Source organism: Homo sapiens, chromosome 3 (genome assembly GCF_000001405.40).
Source record: "Homo sapiens chromosome 3, GRCh38.p14 Primary Assembly".
Classification (NCBI taxonomy): domain Eukaryota; kingdom Metazoa; phylum Chordata; class Mammalia; order Primates; family Hominidae; genus Homo; species Homo sapiens.
In genome coordinates, this window is record NC_000003.12 from 168998357 (window position 1) to 169016146 (window position 17790).

Genomic DNA, 17790 nt, shown 5'->3' on the forward strand with positions numbered 1-17790 from the left:
AGAATTATCTGGTGGTGTCCTTTTTAAAATTGATGTTTACTTTTTTCCATAGCTAACAATTCGAGATTAATCTGAAATAGTCATTTAACATTTTTCAGATACATTTTCTGTGTACTGTTTCATACATACCTAACTAAAGACCTAATAAAGCATCCCGAGTTTACTGAGTGCCTGCTATGTGTTCAGCTCTCAGCTCTGTTTTATGTGAGATTAGAAGAATGCTTTCCTGATCCTTGAAGAGACTCTAATCCAACTGGGAAGACAACTGGCACACAGATTTGGTGAAAATTTTTACTAGGCCAAATAGAATCAAACTTTTCAGAGTACAGAAAAGGCCTTAGGTATGGTAAAAGAAAAATGAAAAACAAATTATTTTAAGGAAACTCCAGAAACTGAATAAGCAGAGTTCACTAGGTGAGCAGTGTTACAAAACCAAAGAGAAATACTGACTTCCACCAAGAGTATCCAAGAGCAGAGCACAGAGCTGTCAGAGCAGAATATGCTCTGTGCCCCCAGAACTCCAGTGATGCTGGCCTGCATGGCATTCCCCAACACCTCATACAGTTACACTGGCTGCGTCTTTACAATGCATTCTCAGCCTCCTCTATTTGCACAAGCCTGAAATGTATTTCTTCAAGGTCTATCCCAAATGCTTCCTCTTCCTTGATGATTCCTGATTGATTCATCTGTTTCCTTTCATGAATTCTTAGTCTGAAACTCTCTGATTGCAAGACTATTATTTTCTTTGAATCATAGCTCTTGGTGTCCAGACCTTAAATTCTCACTTTTCCCCGAGAGTGTTCTGGCCCAAAAAACCAAATTCGATTTTTCTTTATATCTCTGACAGAGACTAATAATGACTACACATACAAAGATTACTTGTTGAATGAATAGATGTAATATAAACTAATAAATAATATGTGAAATAAACTATAAATTACATATTTTCCTTTGTATCTACTCATGGGATTTCATATAAACCAGTTAAAGTACTACATTAGGTCTTTAAGCAGAAAGAAAACTTTGCATGCAGATTATGTGTAAGTGAAAATGCCAAAGAGTCTAGGATGTTAATGAAGAGACTTTTGATACAAAGTATGAGGTGACAAGGGCAGGACCATATTAGTGGCAGTAGTGATGGGGAAGAGGATGGAACCATATGATTCAATAGATATAGGACATGAAAAAGGCAACTAATTAGATATGTTTGTAATTTGCAAGTTCCATAAAAATTTAGATAATGTCTTATTATTACACATGTCACAGCATTAAGCAGTGACTTGCAAGTGAAAGAGAATCACTGAAGCAGGGCACAGTGGCTCATGCTTGTAATTCCAGCACTTTGGGAGGCTGAGACGGGTGGATCACTTGAGGTCAAGAGTTCAAGACCAGCCTGACCAACATGGTGAAACCCCGTCTCTACTAAAAATACAAAATTAGCTGGATGTGGTTGCACATGCCTCTAATTTCAGTTACTTGGGAAGCTGAGGCAGGAGAATCACTTGAGCCTGGGAGGCAGAGGTTGGAGTGAGCCGAGATCACGCCATTGCACTCCAGCCTGGGCAACAAGAGTGAAACTGTCTCCAAAAAAAAGAAGGAAGGAAGGAAGGAAGGAGAAAGGGAGGAAGGGAGGGAAGTGGGGGGTTTGGGGGGAGAGGAGGAGGGAGGGAGGGAGGGAGGGAGGGAAATCACTGGAAAGAAGATAGCTAAACTCCCATCCCAAACTGAGTGTTTCCTGGCTGCGTGATGTTGAGCAAGTTACTCAACATCTCTAATCCTCAATTCCTTCAACCATAACATGAGGATAGTAATTCTGAAATCTTTTGAATGCTATGAAGAACCAAGAGAAAAAACAGAAAGTACCTATTGCAGTGACTGGCACATATTTCCTAACTGGTTAAAGGTAATTATCAGTGAATGTTTGCTGAATTTATGAATGAATGCATTAGGGCTAAAGTGGAAAGCAAAGACCAAAGAAAGGACACAGAAGGACTGAAAAAGCCTTTGGAAGAGAGGAAAATAGTTCAAGGTCAGAGGATTCAATGGAGGATTTTAATGTCTTCTGATTGCTTTAAATTATGGTAGGAGACCATGCCAAAGAGCTGAGCCTCTGTGGAAAAAGGTCTGGAATCAACAGTTTATTGTGATTGTATAAAGCATACCACAAAGTGAATTGGACACATCTTTAATATAAATAATTCTTTTTATTCTGCATGACTATCAGGTATAAATAGTTTGCAATTAGGATAACTGACTATGATTTCCATTACGGTTACATGGCTCAAATGAGCATGTGGGTAGATTTAGTTGGGGAAAAAAATAATAGAGCAGGCAGAGGCCTTAGGCTGTTGTAGCCATCTAAATGACAAGAGCATGGTGTAAGAATAGCCATTGACATGGATGCCATTCACTTACAGAACATGACAGTTGCTCTCTGCCCTTTCCCACCTTTTTGCAGATCTCCAAAATCTTAAAGAAATGAAGGGCAAGGAACTTATAGCCTGAAAGCTTTTAGATTTCCTCAGGATATAGAAACCAATTGTTTTAAATCCTCTAATATGTCAGAGATAATTTTGGTGAAAGAAAATCCAGGTTAAATACATCTGTACTTTGTAATTATACTCCAGAGTACCTAGTGATTGAATGTCTGTGTTCTACCTTCTTTAATACTAAATACTTTAATAAGGACAAATGCATGGCACTCAAGCCAGCTTCTGTCCCAATATGTGTCTGGGATATTCCTGGGCCTGAACAATTTAGACCAGAGAAGTTTCCTGCATGGCATCGTGACAGACATTATAAATGAGGCACAGGTCTCCTTCCTCAGAATCTACCTTAAAGCATTGCTCTGGGCAGTCCACTACAAATGGATTGAAATTGGCCTCTAAATTCATACCCGTTTGTCATTTTTGGTTCAGATGTTTGTCTGCCTTAAGACAGATGCCTGGAACAAATGCTGTCTAAAATTCATGTTCAGTTCAATGAGTCTATAGACCTCTCAGTTCCAATAATCTAATTAGCAGAACAAGACCATGATTATATAAGAAGGAGACTCTTGTGTATTAAAACCTTGAGGTAAATAAAAATTAAGGTAATTTATGTCTATGGCTGTATGAATAACTCTATCTTTATCTTGGCATCCTTTGGGTCCTTCTAGTTGTGCATGCATGTATATATTTATAAAATTACTATGTATTTCATTTTACTCATGTTCACAATTTTATCCCATATTTATCTAAGTTCATGATCACTTTTTCATAGTTTTTGTTCTAATTGTTGAGTGTTTCCGAACTGATTCATAATTTACTCTGAAGTCTTCTACTCACTCCTCTTGGCATTACAAATCAGTCTGAAATATGATGATACTAAAATATTTTTTAAATCCCTGGCACTTTGAATGATGATGCTTTGATTGGCTTTACAGAAGAACATACCTGGCAGTGCTCTTTTCAGTACACTGACCTTATTTCTAACAATTTGAAAAAAAAAAGTTTAAACATCATGTATTTTAGAATTTAAAGCTAGTTTATGATCTTTCTATATCGTCATTTGTTTTGAAAATCTTTTCCCCTTTTAAAAATTTTCTTCCTTTCCTCTAATGCCATTCTTAAAGATGTCTGAACCTTATTCCACACAAAAGACCTTAAAGCTGCAGGTGTGACTCTATACTTACAGTATTTTCTGTTACCCTTTTACTTTCATTTTTTCCCAAACCATCATGAGTTAGTCTCCTTATGTGCTCTCTCATTTTGTGCAATATTCTTCCTGAAAGTAAAGTTTAAGCAAAGAAGCTATACTATGTGGTTATTTCTCATTTCTCCCACGGCACCAAAATAAACAGAAATCAAACTTTGATAATCCTTTGAGTCTGTAGAAGACACGTATGACTCCAAGATTTTAGCACAATCTACATTGAAGGGGCTTTAGAAATTTGTTAAACTCATCTAAATCATAGTGTAAAATTAAATTATATTCCAAATAATTCTACTTTTTTGTTATTTTTCATAGCATACATTTATTGAATGGTTTTAAAGAGTAGTATGAACAAATATTCTGGGTGAGAATAAGCACATAACACTTTGGGGGTTAATGGGTAGGTTAGACTGGCTAGAGCAAGGTGTTTGAAGCATTTTAAGGAGAAGTACTGATAGGTACATAGTTTAAAACCAACCAATCACTATAGAATATTACAACATCAAAAGGTGGGCACCCGTAACTGTTATCTGGGTGTCTTTACAACATTTTAATTTGCGTTAGGGAGGGGGGATCTTACTAAGGTTTCTCCAATTCTTAAAATTAAACACTCCAGAGACCATTCTTTAACAACTCTTTTGGGTCATTCCAAAACACCTCTGTTATGGAGATTAATACTCTTTGATTCTGAGCCAACAGCATGGTTTTCAGATGTTACAATTACCTGTTCAGCTTCTCAGGGGCAATTATTTGAAAGGAGTAAATGCTCTGGCTACAATTGCCTCTGTGGGAGCCACAGTAATTGCCATTCATCAGGGCAGCAACCTGCTGAGGGCATCAATTCATAAGCTCTGAGCCATCAATAAACTGGAACTTGGGCCCCTGGTGCCAACATTCTTTACACAATGAAATATTATTACTGGCAATTAGGTAAACAATAGGCCAACCAGGAAATGGAAGAGAGGTTGCCAGTGACTATATCAGCACTCATCCACAGATGTCTTGATACTTTTCCTGCAAGAGAAACACCTTGAGATAACTCTACAAAACCAGGATCAAATTATCACAAAAAAACTTCACAGAGTGAAGAATGAAGGAAAAGAAAAATGATCACAAATGGGTTTTTGTTTTAATCAGGAAATACGGTATGGAGCAGTAGATAGCAACCTTCTTATCATAGATATCCATAGATATCCTATGCCACCTTTGTAGTAGCTGGTGTTGAGTACAACAGATGGAGAAAGACGGTTGTGTAACTGGACTCAAGGAAGCTAGTTCCACAGCCACAGTGTTGGGACAAACAGCTTAATAGTGTTCAGGGAATTCATATTAATGAAAGCTGATAATTTGTGAAGTGCTTTAAGAGTTTAAAAGGATTTTACCCTGCATGATGAAATTTGATCACCATGATAACAGTGATGTAATTAGGGTGGGTATTAGTGTTTCTGCCTGGGTATTTTTGATGAGGGGAGAAGACTGAGGGTCAGAGAGGCTAGGTATTAAGTTGCCTAGGTTGCTTCCAGAATAGTTCTTTCCCTATTCTACCGTGTTGCCTATCTCGTTCAGATCCCCACTCCTAATGTGCTTAGACTAGTCACGAAGGACATGTCCAGCTTACCCCAAACCTATTACTAAAACACTTGAGCCTCAGCCCCTACCCTTCAGAGCAATTCCTCTCGCAGGGCTCTGACTTACTTGAGGAAACAAGGAAATGCTGCAACCAGGGATAGGTCAGGAACTTTTGGTAAACCTTCGCTTCTGATGTAAAACTAGAAGACCAAAGAGTGAAACCCCAGATACCAACAGTAGCTTCAGACGAACACAGAGGCAGGGCTATTAAAGGTATTGAACTGACATACACAATAGTGAGGTTGAAAGGCAATCAGAAAGTTGCCATGTTCATCGCATGAACATGAATGCGGGGGATGTTTTAAGAGGTGAAAAAGAAAGTAACTCCAAACCTGATAATTGTAGTCATTTTTCTGTGTAAGTTGGAATTGATAAGTCCCTCATCTCCACTCCTGTTGTTTTTACCCAAATAAATAATGCAGCTGAAAGCTGTTTGATGGGATAAGAGTATACTGCTAAAACAGGAAAAATCTGTCAGGGCAGAAGTGGTGGGAGGTCAGGAATTTTTAAAAGGCATCATTAAAGAAATGATGTGGCTTGGGGTATGTTCCTAAGGTAATGCAGTGCATCCTTGGTCAGGAAATTCTTTTGACTGATAAATCTTATTCTATTTTATATGAGCCTAAGATTATTAAATTCATTTTATATATCAAACAAGTTTAGGGTCGATAAAATATATTTCTGAAAACTAAGCAGGAAATGGCAGTCTCGTGGTTAGAGTATTGATGGAGGGCCAGGAGTTTATTTTCACCTCCACCACAAGTTCATGACTCATGTGATCTAGGCAAAATAGTAGATTATTTCTCTTCTCCTTCCTCCACCTGAAAACAAAACAAAAACAAAAACATCGACTTTTTCACCCTTCCAAAGCCCTTTTCCTATTCATCCTTGCTTGCTTCTCTTGTTTCTCCGTTTCCTTTTCTTTCATTTATAGGCCAACCCCAAAGTTTAAGGAGATTGTGGCAAGGTATAAGTCAGACAGGTATTCTTTTCAGATCTTTTAAAACCATAGTATCACAGCAACAACTCTAAAAAAAATGACACAGACAGAACAAACCCGAATAAAAAGTTTGAAATAGATATATTTGACTTTTGCTCAGAATGAGCACAAGGGTTCTGAGAGAGGAGCTGAGGATCCCTAGAACCAGGTGCACAAAAAATATTCTAAAGAATTTCTTCTGAAATCTCAATAGGAAGTCTTCGAAGGTGCCACTGCTCCTAGTATGGGATTACTTCTTAGACTCAAGAGAAAAAATAAATATTAGAAAATAATTATCAAATGAAATACTCCCTGGGCTCAGGATACTCTGGTGCAGCCTGTGTCTATAATTAGGCAAGTAAAACAAATCATGGCAAAATTACTTTAGATTTGTTAAAACCATGTTGGCATTAGTGAACATTTTTACAAGACATGAATTATTTTTATTTTTTAACTGCTTTCTTGATAGTTCAAATGTTTCATTATTTTCTCCCTTACCAGGTTATACACATCTACAAGCAAGGACTGGATGTTCTATGTCATGGATCTCCCAAAACCCCTGGCACCATTGGTTGACGGTCCAAAGTATTTGACTTGCTAAAGAATCTTTCCCTCCTAGAAGTATAAAATTCTACTTTATTTTCCCTATAAAAACAAACAAAATAACTATATATATATGCTGATATTGAACCAGAATTACAAATAATTTGTAATGTCAGATATTTAAATTCTACCTATTTTATAATATTTATTTCACAAAAGTCACAAGACTCACTATGTTATACAATAGAGTTTTCAGAATCACTTTACAGAATCTTCTTTTTTGATTTCTATGTAACAATTGCTATTTTACATTAGCTCTAGTTTGAAACATATAACCTGTAATTTAAATATATAATTGTAAAAGTCCCTTTGCTTGTTTATGAATGTAGGTCATAATGCCAAATATATCATGATTAGTTATTTCCATTTATTGAAATTCCTGGGTTTGTCATAGATAGCTCTTATTATTTTGAGATACATCCCATCAATACCTAATTTATTGAGAGTTTTTAGCATGAAGGGCTGTTGAATTTTGTCAAAGGCCTTTTCTGCATCTATTGAGATAATCATGTGGTTTTTGTCCTTGGTTCTGTTTATATGCTGGGTTATATTTATTGATTTACGTATGTTGAACCAGCCTCGCATCCCAGGGATGAAGCCCACTTGATCATGGTGAATAAGCTTTTTGATGTGCTGCTGGATTTGGTTTGCCAATATTTTATTGAGGATTTTTGCATCGATGTTCATCAGGGATATTTGTCTAAAATTCCTTTTTTTTGTTGTGTCTCTGCCAGGCTTTGGTATCAGGATGATGCTGGCCTCATAAAATGAGTTAGGGAGGATTCCCTCTTTTTCTATTGATTGGAATAGTTTCAGAAGGAATGGTACCAGTTCCTCCTTGTACCTCCCGTAGAATTCGGCTATGAATCCATCTGGTCCTGGACTTTTTTTGGTTGGTAAGCTATTAATTATTGCCTCAATTTCAGAGCCTGTTATTGGTCTATTCAGACCTTCAACTTCTTCCTGGTTTAGTCTTGGGAGGGTGGATGTGTCAAGGAATTTATCCATTTCTTCTAGATTTTCTAGTTTATTTGCATAGAGGTGTTTATACTATTCTCTGATGGTAGTTTGTATTTCTGTGGGATCGGTGGTGATATCCCCTTTATCATTTTTTATTGCTTCTATTTGATTCTTCTCTCTTTTCTTCTTTATTAGTCTTGCTAGTGGTCTATCAATTTTGTTGATCTTTTCAAAAAAGACACATGCACACGTATGTTTATTGCGGCACTATTCACAATAGCAAAGACTTGGAACCAACCCAACTGTCCAACAATGATAGACTGGATTAAGAAAATGTGGCACATATACACCATGGAATACTATGCAGCCATAAAAAATGATGAGTTCATGCCCTTTGTAGGGACATGGATGAAGCTGGAAACCATCATTCTCAGCAAACTATCGCAAGGACAAAAAAACCAAATACCGCATGTTCTCATTCATAGGTGGGAATTGAACAATGAGAACACATGGACACAGGAAGGGGAACATCACACACCGGGGCCTGTTGTGGGGTGGGGGGAGGGGGGAGGGATAGCATTAGGAGATATACCTAATGTTAAATGACAAGTTAATGGGTGCAGCACACCAACATGGCACATGTATACATATGTAACTAACCTGCATGTTGTGCACATGTGCCCTAAAACTTAAAGTATAATTAAAAAAAAAAAAAAGAAGAAATTCCTGGATGGAAGGGTGTCAGAGACAATGAGCCACTAATTACATCTGAGCCTCAATGGTTTATTGGAGTGTTCCCTATGGCACTTAAAATATCCAGCGCAGAATTTGGGATTGACTACTCACAATTTATATTGTTATCTATTGTTCATGGACGGATATTGTTTTCTGACATAGATGGCAAAGCCCTTGACTGTAGCAACCATAGCTTCTTATATAATCAATAGCATTTAACACGAGAGGTAAAAGCCATCTCATTTAATCCAAGATTTCACAAACCAAAGAGTATAGTTGATTGGTAAAATATAACATTTTTTTAACCTCATACTTGTGGAAGGAAAATAAAAACCTGAGACCCCAATTCACTAAGCCAAAAAGAAAAAATTAAGCTGAGTCATGCAAGACGCTACCTTTTCTTTTGTTTCTAAGCAGATAGCTACAGATAAGAGGTTAAATATCTCCACAGGTAAGTACTCTATGTTCACCTTAAATTATGTAAAGTGCCAATTTACTGAGCTTGAGAGGAATACATGACTGACTAATTCCCCACCTGCTTCTTTTCTCTTGCAACATGTGGATGACCATACCCTCCCCCTTTCCCCTCTAGCCTGCTTTTCCCCTTTAAATATTGAAACTCTCAGAATCATCTTTGGAGAAAGGCACAGACCACAGACTGTTTCTGTGATTCAATGCTCTTTTCTTCCAGGCATGTCCTTAAACTTGGCAAAACAAACTTATAAATTGACTGAGACCTGTCTCAGATAATTTTGGCTTACATACTAGTAAAATTTGTGTGTGTGCATGTGTGTGTGTGTGTGTTTAGCTAGCTAATGATACATGCTAAAGACTTCTAGGTGCAGAGTAGGAAGATTTTGCATTGGTTTTTTAAACGAATCTGTTAGTCACTTATTTTAATTGTTAGTTGCAATTCCTTACATGAAGAGAAATGCTTTCAAAATATATTTCTGATTCATTAAGAAAATGTTCACCTCTTGCCTACTGACTTGCCATTAGGAACAGTGTGGTCATTATTTACGTGTCACAAGGTTGGTAAGCAAAATTAACCTCTAATAAAAAAAGTGTTTACAATGTTAAGGGAGCAAATACAATTCTCTAAAACAGGTTGAAGGACATTCTAACTAATGTCTCAGTGATTCAAGTCAATAGCAGTTGGAAAATAACTATTAAAATAAACTCGATATCACAAGAAAATGTTTGTTTTTTACTCAAAAATAGGCTGAAACTTTTATGATGACAATAAATAGATGAGCTATAGATATGACAAATTGTATGGCAATAGGTACATAAATTTTTCTTAAAACTAAAACTAAAATTTTTAATTAGGCAGCCTTGCAATTTATGGTATATGAATTTAACTACAGTTTTATTCATTATTGTATCAAGGACTCGGTGAGCTATAATAATAGATTTTTACATGATATGTTCTTCAGTTTCTCAAGATGTTGTCACAGGTAGCCACACTTTTTCACTCATTCTACATCTAACTCATGCGTCTAAGGATGCATGAATAAAGGATGCTAGTTGCTACTAATAGCCATCCTGTGACCAAGAGGAGAATCCGCTCCAGAAGCCAACTAACACAGTGACTGTCAGAGCAAAGAGAAAAATACAAACTAGATCTGTGATAATCTTGTGAGCTAATTGGTCAACTCAAAAGAGTGTCCAACTTCTGAACTTTCTCTAACATGAGTAAAATAATTGTTTTATTATTTAAGCTAGTGTAACTTTGGGTTTCAGAAAATCAAAAGTATACTAAGACAATACTCAAAGAAAAGGAGAGTAAAGAAGCAACAAACAAATTTTTACTCAAATTACAATTTTTTCCTGGAGCCCTCCATGATTATTAACAATTCAACATAAGCTATTCAAATGTAGGAGTTAAGATAAACAGCAATAGTCACAGATCAAAGAGATAAACAAACAAAAAAATTACATCCTCATACAGTTGCAAACAGGAGTCCCAGGTCGCTCTAGCGGTAGTTCTATGCTTATTTCCTGCTATTGCTGTTGCTATTGCTATTGTTGAAGCCTTGGGTTTCTTCTACAGTAATAGCTGAGGTTTACTGAGCTTTATTGTATGTCAAGTAATTTGCTGTCTAATGAACTCAGAATGGTCTCTTTGCATCACCAATTGTTGAAACAACTTGTCACTTAATTTTGTTTATTTCTACTTGGCTACCTAAGAACAAAGAGATAATCATTTCTTAGCCCTCTTATAGACTAACAGTCACTCAGGTGATTGTCTTAGCTCACCATTGAAGGGTTTTTCTTACATCATCATTTGACTCATCCAGTTAATGGATAATACTCTTGTGCTTTGACCATTTCTAGGCTAATTATAATCTTTCTCTTCATAGGTGGCCAATTGCTTTTTACTGTTAAAATATACAATATTTATTTTTTGTTTCTTATTCTATAACAAAGTATTTCAATAAGTTTATTCTTAAAAAAAGAAAGACAACTTAGAGCAGTCAAAAATCAGGTGGCCTGAGTTTAAAACTTGATCCTCACAAGATCATGGGCAAATAACAACTCTCTGTGGATTAATTTTCTTATTTGCAAAATGAGGAATAAATAGAATCTATCTTAGAGGATTACTAGGATACCATGGACAAATACATGTGAAGCACATAGAATGTCTCACACATAATAATGCAGAACAATCCTTAGTTATTCATTTACTCATTCATACATTCAATAAATAATTCATTGAGATGTTAATATGAGTAAGGTTATATCCTGGGCCTTATGCAAATACAAAAATCAAAAGGCACTGATTTTTTCTGCCTTCAATTATTCAACTGTCTAGTCTTGGACATAATTCACAAACAAAAATATCAACATTGTCACATAGTATTCAAACAGGACCACATAAGTGTATTAGGTATGAAAGAGGAAAAAGACAGAGGTGTCTTTTAATACTAAAATGTTAGTATTATTTTTCTCTTATATTCATGAAATTTGTTTAGTGTAGTGATTTAGTGTTTTTCTGCTGCTACGTTCTTTTCTCAAAGCTTGCTCACCTGTTGCCTGTTTTCCTGTTAATCTACTGTGCTAATGTAGCACGGTGTATTGCAGTAGCAAGCAAGGATACTAAAGAAAGTGTCAAAAGATAGAAAACATATTGCGACCTTCTTCCTAATCACTAACTGAATGATACAACTGACCAATCTTCCTTTGTGACACATAGTAGAGTATAAACAATTTACTAAGTCTGAAAGATCAAAGATCATATCCTATTGAGCTTTGAATCTTCAACATCTAATAAAATGTCCCTGATTTTCAAGACCTGACTAGTTAGAATATCACTTTCTCCTGGCCACAGTGATTGGTTCAGGAAAGGGAAAATCACCCACACAAGACTCAGACATTTTCTGCCAGAATAATTATTTAAAAAGATTCCTTCTGTCTACTCATTTTGCCAAGCTTTTGAAATAAAAGTCTGGAGTTGCCAACAACCATCTTGCCACCACCTGGAGGAAGTCTGAGAAGGAAGAAAGAGAACTAAACATATGAGAGAAAGGGAGACTACTGACAACCTTGGACCTCTGGATTCAATGGGCCTTGACCCACCACTTAGCCTTTTCAGCTAGTGAACAGATAGATTCCCTCTTCACTTAAAATCAGTTTAGATTGGCCGGGCGCGGTGGCTCATACCTGTAATCCCAGCATTTTTGGAGGCCGAGGCAGGTAGAGCACGAGGTCAGGAGATTGAGACCCCCGTGGCTAACATGGTGAAACCTCGTCTCTACTAAAAATACAAAAATTAGCTGGGCATGGAGGCGCGTGCCTGTAATCCCAGCTACTCAGGAGACTGAGGCAGGAGAGTCGCTTGAACCAGGGAGTCGGAGGTTGCACTGAGCGGAGATTGTGCTGCTGTACTACAGCCTGGTGACAGAGCAACACTCTGTCTCAAAAAAAAAAAAAAAAAAAAAAAATCAGTTTAGATTGAGATGCTCATAACAAGACTCAGAATTACATATTGTTATTATTATTAACCGGACTTTGATTATTAAATACCTTGAGGTAGTCTTTGGGTTAAATCTGCTTGATGTTCTATAACTTTTTTGTACTTAAATGTTGATATCTTTCTTTAGGTTTGGGAAGTTTTCTGACAGTATCCCTTTGAATAAACTCTCTACCCCATCTCTCTCTCTCTTTCTACTTCCTATTTAAGGCCAATAACTCTTAAATTTGCCCTTTAGTATGCAATGGGCATACTCAAGAATGCATCAGAGTCTTTTAATAGCACAGTGGATCAAGCAGAAGAAAGAATTAGTGAGCTTGAAGACAGGCTATCTGAAAATACACAGTCAGAGGAGATAAAAAGAAAAAAGAAGAAAAAACAATGAAGCCTGCCTAACAGGTTCTAAAAAATAGCCTCAACCGGGCAAATCTAAGAGTTATTGGCCTCAAAGAGGAGGCAGGGAATGAGACTGGGGTAGAAAGTTTAATTAAAGGGATAATAACAGAGAATTTTCGAAACATAGAGAAAGATGTCAATATCCAAGTACAAGAAGATTATAGAACACCAAGCAGATTTAACCAAATACTTACTCATTAGAGAAATGCAAATTAAAACTACAATGAAATACCATATATGGAAATGGCTAAATCTTAAATACTTGATAAAATCAGGTATTGAAAGGATGCGGAACATTTTTACATTTTTACATTAATGATGGGAATGTAAAATATACATCCACAATGGAAAACAGGCTGGCAGTTTCTTATGAAGTAAGAACCATAAAACCCAGCAATCTTATATTTACATATTTACCCAAGAGAAATCAAAATATATGTTCACACAGAGAATTGTTCTTAAAAGTTTACAGCAACCTTATACATAATAGTCAAGCAACCCAAATGTTCATTCTCTGCTGAATGGATAAACAAATTTTGGTGTGTCCATATAAAAAAATACTACTGAGCAGTAAAAGTAGTACCACATTTTCTTTATCCTGTCCACCACTGAAGGACATCTACATTGATTCCATGTCTTGGCTACTGTGAATAGTGCTGCAATTAACATAAGCGTGCATGTATCTTTGTATTAGAATGGTTTATATTCATTTGTGTATATACCCAGTAATGGGATTGCTGGGTCAAATGGTATTTCTTCAACGGCTAGTTTTTCGATCCTCACCCTCCTCCCACCCTACACCCTCAAGTAGGTCCTGATTACTATTATTCCCTTCCTTGTATCCACATATACTCAATGTTCAGCTCCCACTTATAAGTGCTGTCATGGACATAGATGTGCATGTGTCTTTAAGGTAGAATGATTTATACTCCTTTGGGTATATACCCAGTAATGGATTGCTGGCTTGAATGGTAGTTCTGTTTTAAGCTCTTTGAGAAGTCTCCAGATACCTTACACAGTGGCTGAACATTCCTGCCAGTAGTGTATAAGTATTCTTCTTATTCCACAACCTCACTGGTGTCTGTTAATTTTTGACTTTTTCATAATAACCATTCTGATCCTTGTGAGATGGTATTTCATATGTATTTCTCTAAAGATTAGTGATGCTGAGCATTTTTTCATATGTTTGTTGGCCACATGTATGTCTTCTTTGGAAAAGTGCCTGTTCACATCCTTTGCCTCCTTTTTTTTTAATGTAGTTATTTGCTTTTGCCTGGTAGTTTGTTTAAGTTCCTTATGGATTCTGGATATTAGACCTTTGTGAGATGCATACTTTGACAATATTTTCTCCAATTCTGTAGGTTGTCTGTTTACTCTGTATATGAAATTTTATAAAAGGCAAAAATATAGTGATGAAGCAGATCCGTGGTGGTCAGGGGCTAGGAGTGGGAGTAGTGTGATAGTGAAGAACCACAGGGGAACTTTTAGAAATGACAGAAATGTTCTATACCAGGATTGAGGTGAGAGTTACACAACTCTATACATTTGGCAAAATCATTAAATTGTACACTCAAATTTGGTGAATTTAGTGGTATATAAATTATATTTCAACAAACTAATTGAGAAAATATATATTTAGTCACTCTTACATATAACACATATACTAAGATTTGGAGAGGGAAGACTATTTTTTAATATAAGACCTATAATTTTCTGGCTTCCTACTGCACTTAGTTTTTCATTCTCTTTTGTAATGTTTCTTTTTCCATCTATATATATAATTGCCCTCTGCACATTCTGTATAATGCCTCAGAAATTGTTTCAAATCAACTTAGCCAGTGCCAAATCATCATACTTTCTCAACATATTGTGCTTGCTTTTTTTTTTTTTTTTTTTTTTTCATCTCACCACCATGCACCAAAGCCAGAACTTTCGGCTTCCCCCTGGAGTCCAGTATTTCCTAAGCAATCCTCAGCCAACTCAGACTTGTCTTCTTTTACCTTTGAAATCTCCCTGCTTCTCTCTATCTGCACTGCCTCCACTCATTGCACACCACATGATTTCCCACTTGGAGAATTGCAGCAACCTCCTCAGTGGTCTCTCTACCCCAATCTCTGTGATCTCTAATTCAAAATCTGATCTGTCACTTGCCTTGCCAGCACTGCCTGTAGGATTAGGTTCTAATTGCTCTTCATGGCTGATAGGGCCACTCACCATCTGCCCTACTTACCTGTGCAATCATATCTCTGCACTCTTCTGCCATGGAAAACTGCCTTCAGTTCTCTGAATGTGGCATATGTCCTTCTACTTCCAGGACTGATGGAAATTTTATTTTGCTGGAACATTCTCTTTTTATTTGAGATACCTCCCCTTTCCCAATCTCACAAATTTATCTTATTCATCCTGCAATTCTTAACCTAGACATCACTTCTTTTGGGCACCATTTGAATTTTCTTTTGCTTCCATGGCTCCTAGAACCTGTGTGATAGCATTTACCACAGTAAGATACTTTGGAAATATTTAAACCTATACCTCCTTCTAGGCAGACCATGAGCTCCACAAGGGCAAATAAACTTCCACACCCTTACTAGACCCCTAGAGCCCAGCATGGCACATTTTACGTACGAGACATACAACTAATAGGGGTTAAACAATTAAGTGACTCTACCTCCTCCTATCACTGTCAAAAACATGTAGGCTAATCATCTTAAAAATTAAATGTTGAACCATTTGCTTAGCTTTTGAGCATAAAGTCCAACTACTCTTTGTGGCAAGTCAGCCATTTGTAAAGGTCAATTTAAAAGTAACATTGGTTGCTCTTCCATTATAGTAAACTCTCTATTTCTTACATATTCCTCAATTTACAAAAACTTGTGGACATATGGTATTCATAAATCCTGTAATATGCAGCTGTGTCATACAAAGCTCAGAATAATCCATCATTGATTCATACCTCTGTCCATTGTTTTTTCCTCCTCATAAAGTGAGAGCAGAGTCTCAGTTTGCATTCAATATGTTTCTTCTGTTTAAAAATGAGTAGCAATTTATGTAAAAATTTTGTGCATTCAAAGCAAAATCACAAAGACTGGGAATACATCTTCTCCCTAATAAAGTTCATAGGCATTGTTGGAAACATACACTCTGTACCTCCACTAAAGCATTTTATTAAGTTCTGAAGGTGCTCAGTGAGAACCAATATTATCTATTTTGAGGAGTGGTGAGATGGGGATAGTCAAGATTAGTGATTTACCTGAGTACAAAGCAACATAACTTTCTTTGCTATATCATTATATGGTTTCAGTCCTGAAGATGGGCTTGTCACAGATACTGCCCTTAATATTTTGACCTATGATTGTTAAAGAAAGATTACTCTCTTTTCTTTCGATCAGCACTCATTAAAATAGCCTTTATGTCTGGTTGCAATAGAATATATATTTAATATTTAAAAGTTTATAGAGATACACACAGAAGTTAATATACTTCTGGAAAAATAAATGGAATTACTTGAGGCTGTAGGTTAATCAGCGTTTTCTGTGTGTGTGTTGTAAGAATGCATATATGTATCATTTATTCTAATTAGAAAATACATAAATAAAAAGAAAATTTTCAAATTAAAAATATGTTAAAGTAGAAAAAATGCTACAGATTACTGCTAATATTTTGTGTGCTTTCTTCTAGTAGATTTTCTATTTATATAATTGTAAAATTTTATATGTATGTATTTTACAACACTTTTACAATACTTGTTTAATACACTTTCTCATGGTTATGTTTAATTCATTCATTAACCATAACTTATTGATTTTACCATACTTCCACTGCTGAATGCATGAAACTCATATATTCATATATATATATTTAATTTCTTAATTTAATATATATGTACTTATTTAATTTCTTAGAGACAGGATCTCACTATGTTCTGCAGGCTGATTTCAAACTCCTGACCTCAAGCAACACTCTCATTCTGGCCTTCCAAAACGTTGGGATTACAGGCATGAGCCACCATGCTCAGCCTATTGCTGAATATTTTTATGTTACAAAGAAGAAAAAATGAGCATAAATCTTTTTTAATAGCTTAAAATGTTTTCTTAGAATATATTCCTTTAAGTGAGGGTGCTGACTCACATGTGTGAATATTCTTAAGGCTTTTGCTAAATATTATCCATATTGACCTTTAGAAAAGCTGCATTATTTTACATCTCTGAAAATAGTACATGACTGTCCTTATTTCCTACCACCCTTACCAATACTGAATATTACCTTTTTGTTTACTTGTGCGAATGTTATGCATGAAAAATCATTTATTATTGACATTTTAATATACTTCTTTGATAATTGTGATGCAAATGTTTTCTTATATTGTTCATAATTTGTATAAGTTGCCTATTTTCTTGTATCAATATTCCTTATTAATGTATCTTATTAATTTATAATAATTTTCATAAATAACAGTTGTTCTTTATTTTTACTTTATTTTAAAATTATTTTCACTAGTTTACCATAATTTATTTTTGATAATTTATGAGAATCATTTTTGTTTTTATGTACTTGAATTTATTAACAATTCTGTTTTTAATTGTTTGCTTTTCTACCAAGAAATGATGTATTTTCATCTGTACTTGTTTTATGACTTTAAAACTGTGTTCTTTATAACACTTTAATCCATCTGCAATTTTTAAATAAATATTATGAGGTAGGAAGAAAGCTTTATCTTTTCCAAATAATCAACAAATTATGCCATTCCCCTTCCCAATGATTAAACCATTCTTTCCTACTAATTAAGATGGATCCTTTATATCATATTAGTAAGCACATGTAG

At 35.7% G+C, this 17790-nt stretch overlaps 1 long non-coding RNA gene across 1 annotated transcript, besides 1 other annotated feature; it reads left to right on the forward strand.

The window, feature by feature from the left end:
• Window positions 4138-4909: an enhancer, noted in NCBI's record as "OCT4-NANOG hESC enhancer chr3:168720282-168721053 (GRCh37/hg19 assembly coordinates)". NCBI's record gives its function as "activates a minimal SCP1, AML or CMV promoter by ChIP-STARR-seq in primed H9 embryonic stem cells {active_cell/tissue: H9 hESC(primed)}" and the evidence as "EXISTENCE:reporter gene assay evidence [ECO:0000049][PMID:30033119]".
• On the forward strand, window positions 4655-8587 carry LINC01997 (long intergenic non-protein coding RNA 1997). Its single transcript, XR_924689.3, has 3 exons — window positions 4655-4838; window positions 6803-6922; window positions 7639-8587. It is a non-coding gene; the product is annotated as a long intergenic non-protein coding RNA 1997 (long non-coding RNA).
• The last annotated feature ends 9203 nt before the right edge of the window (window positions 8588-17790 follow it).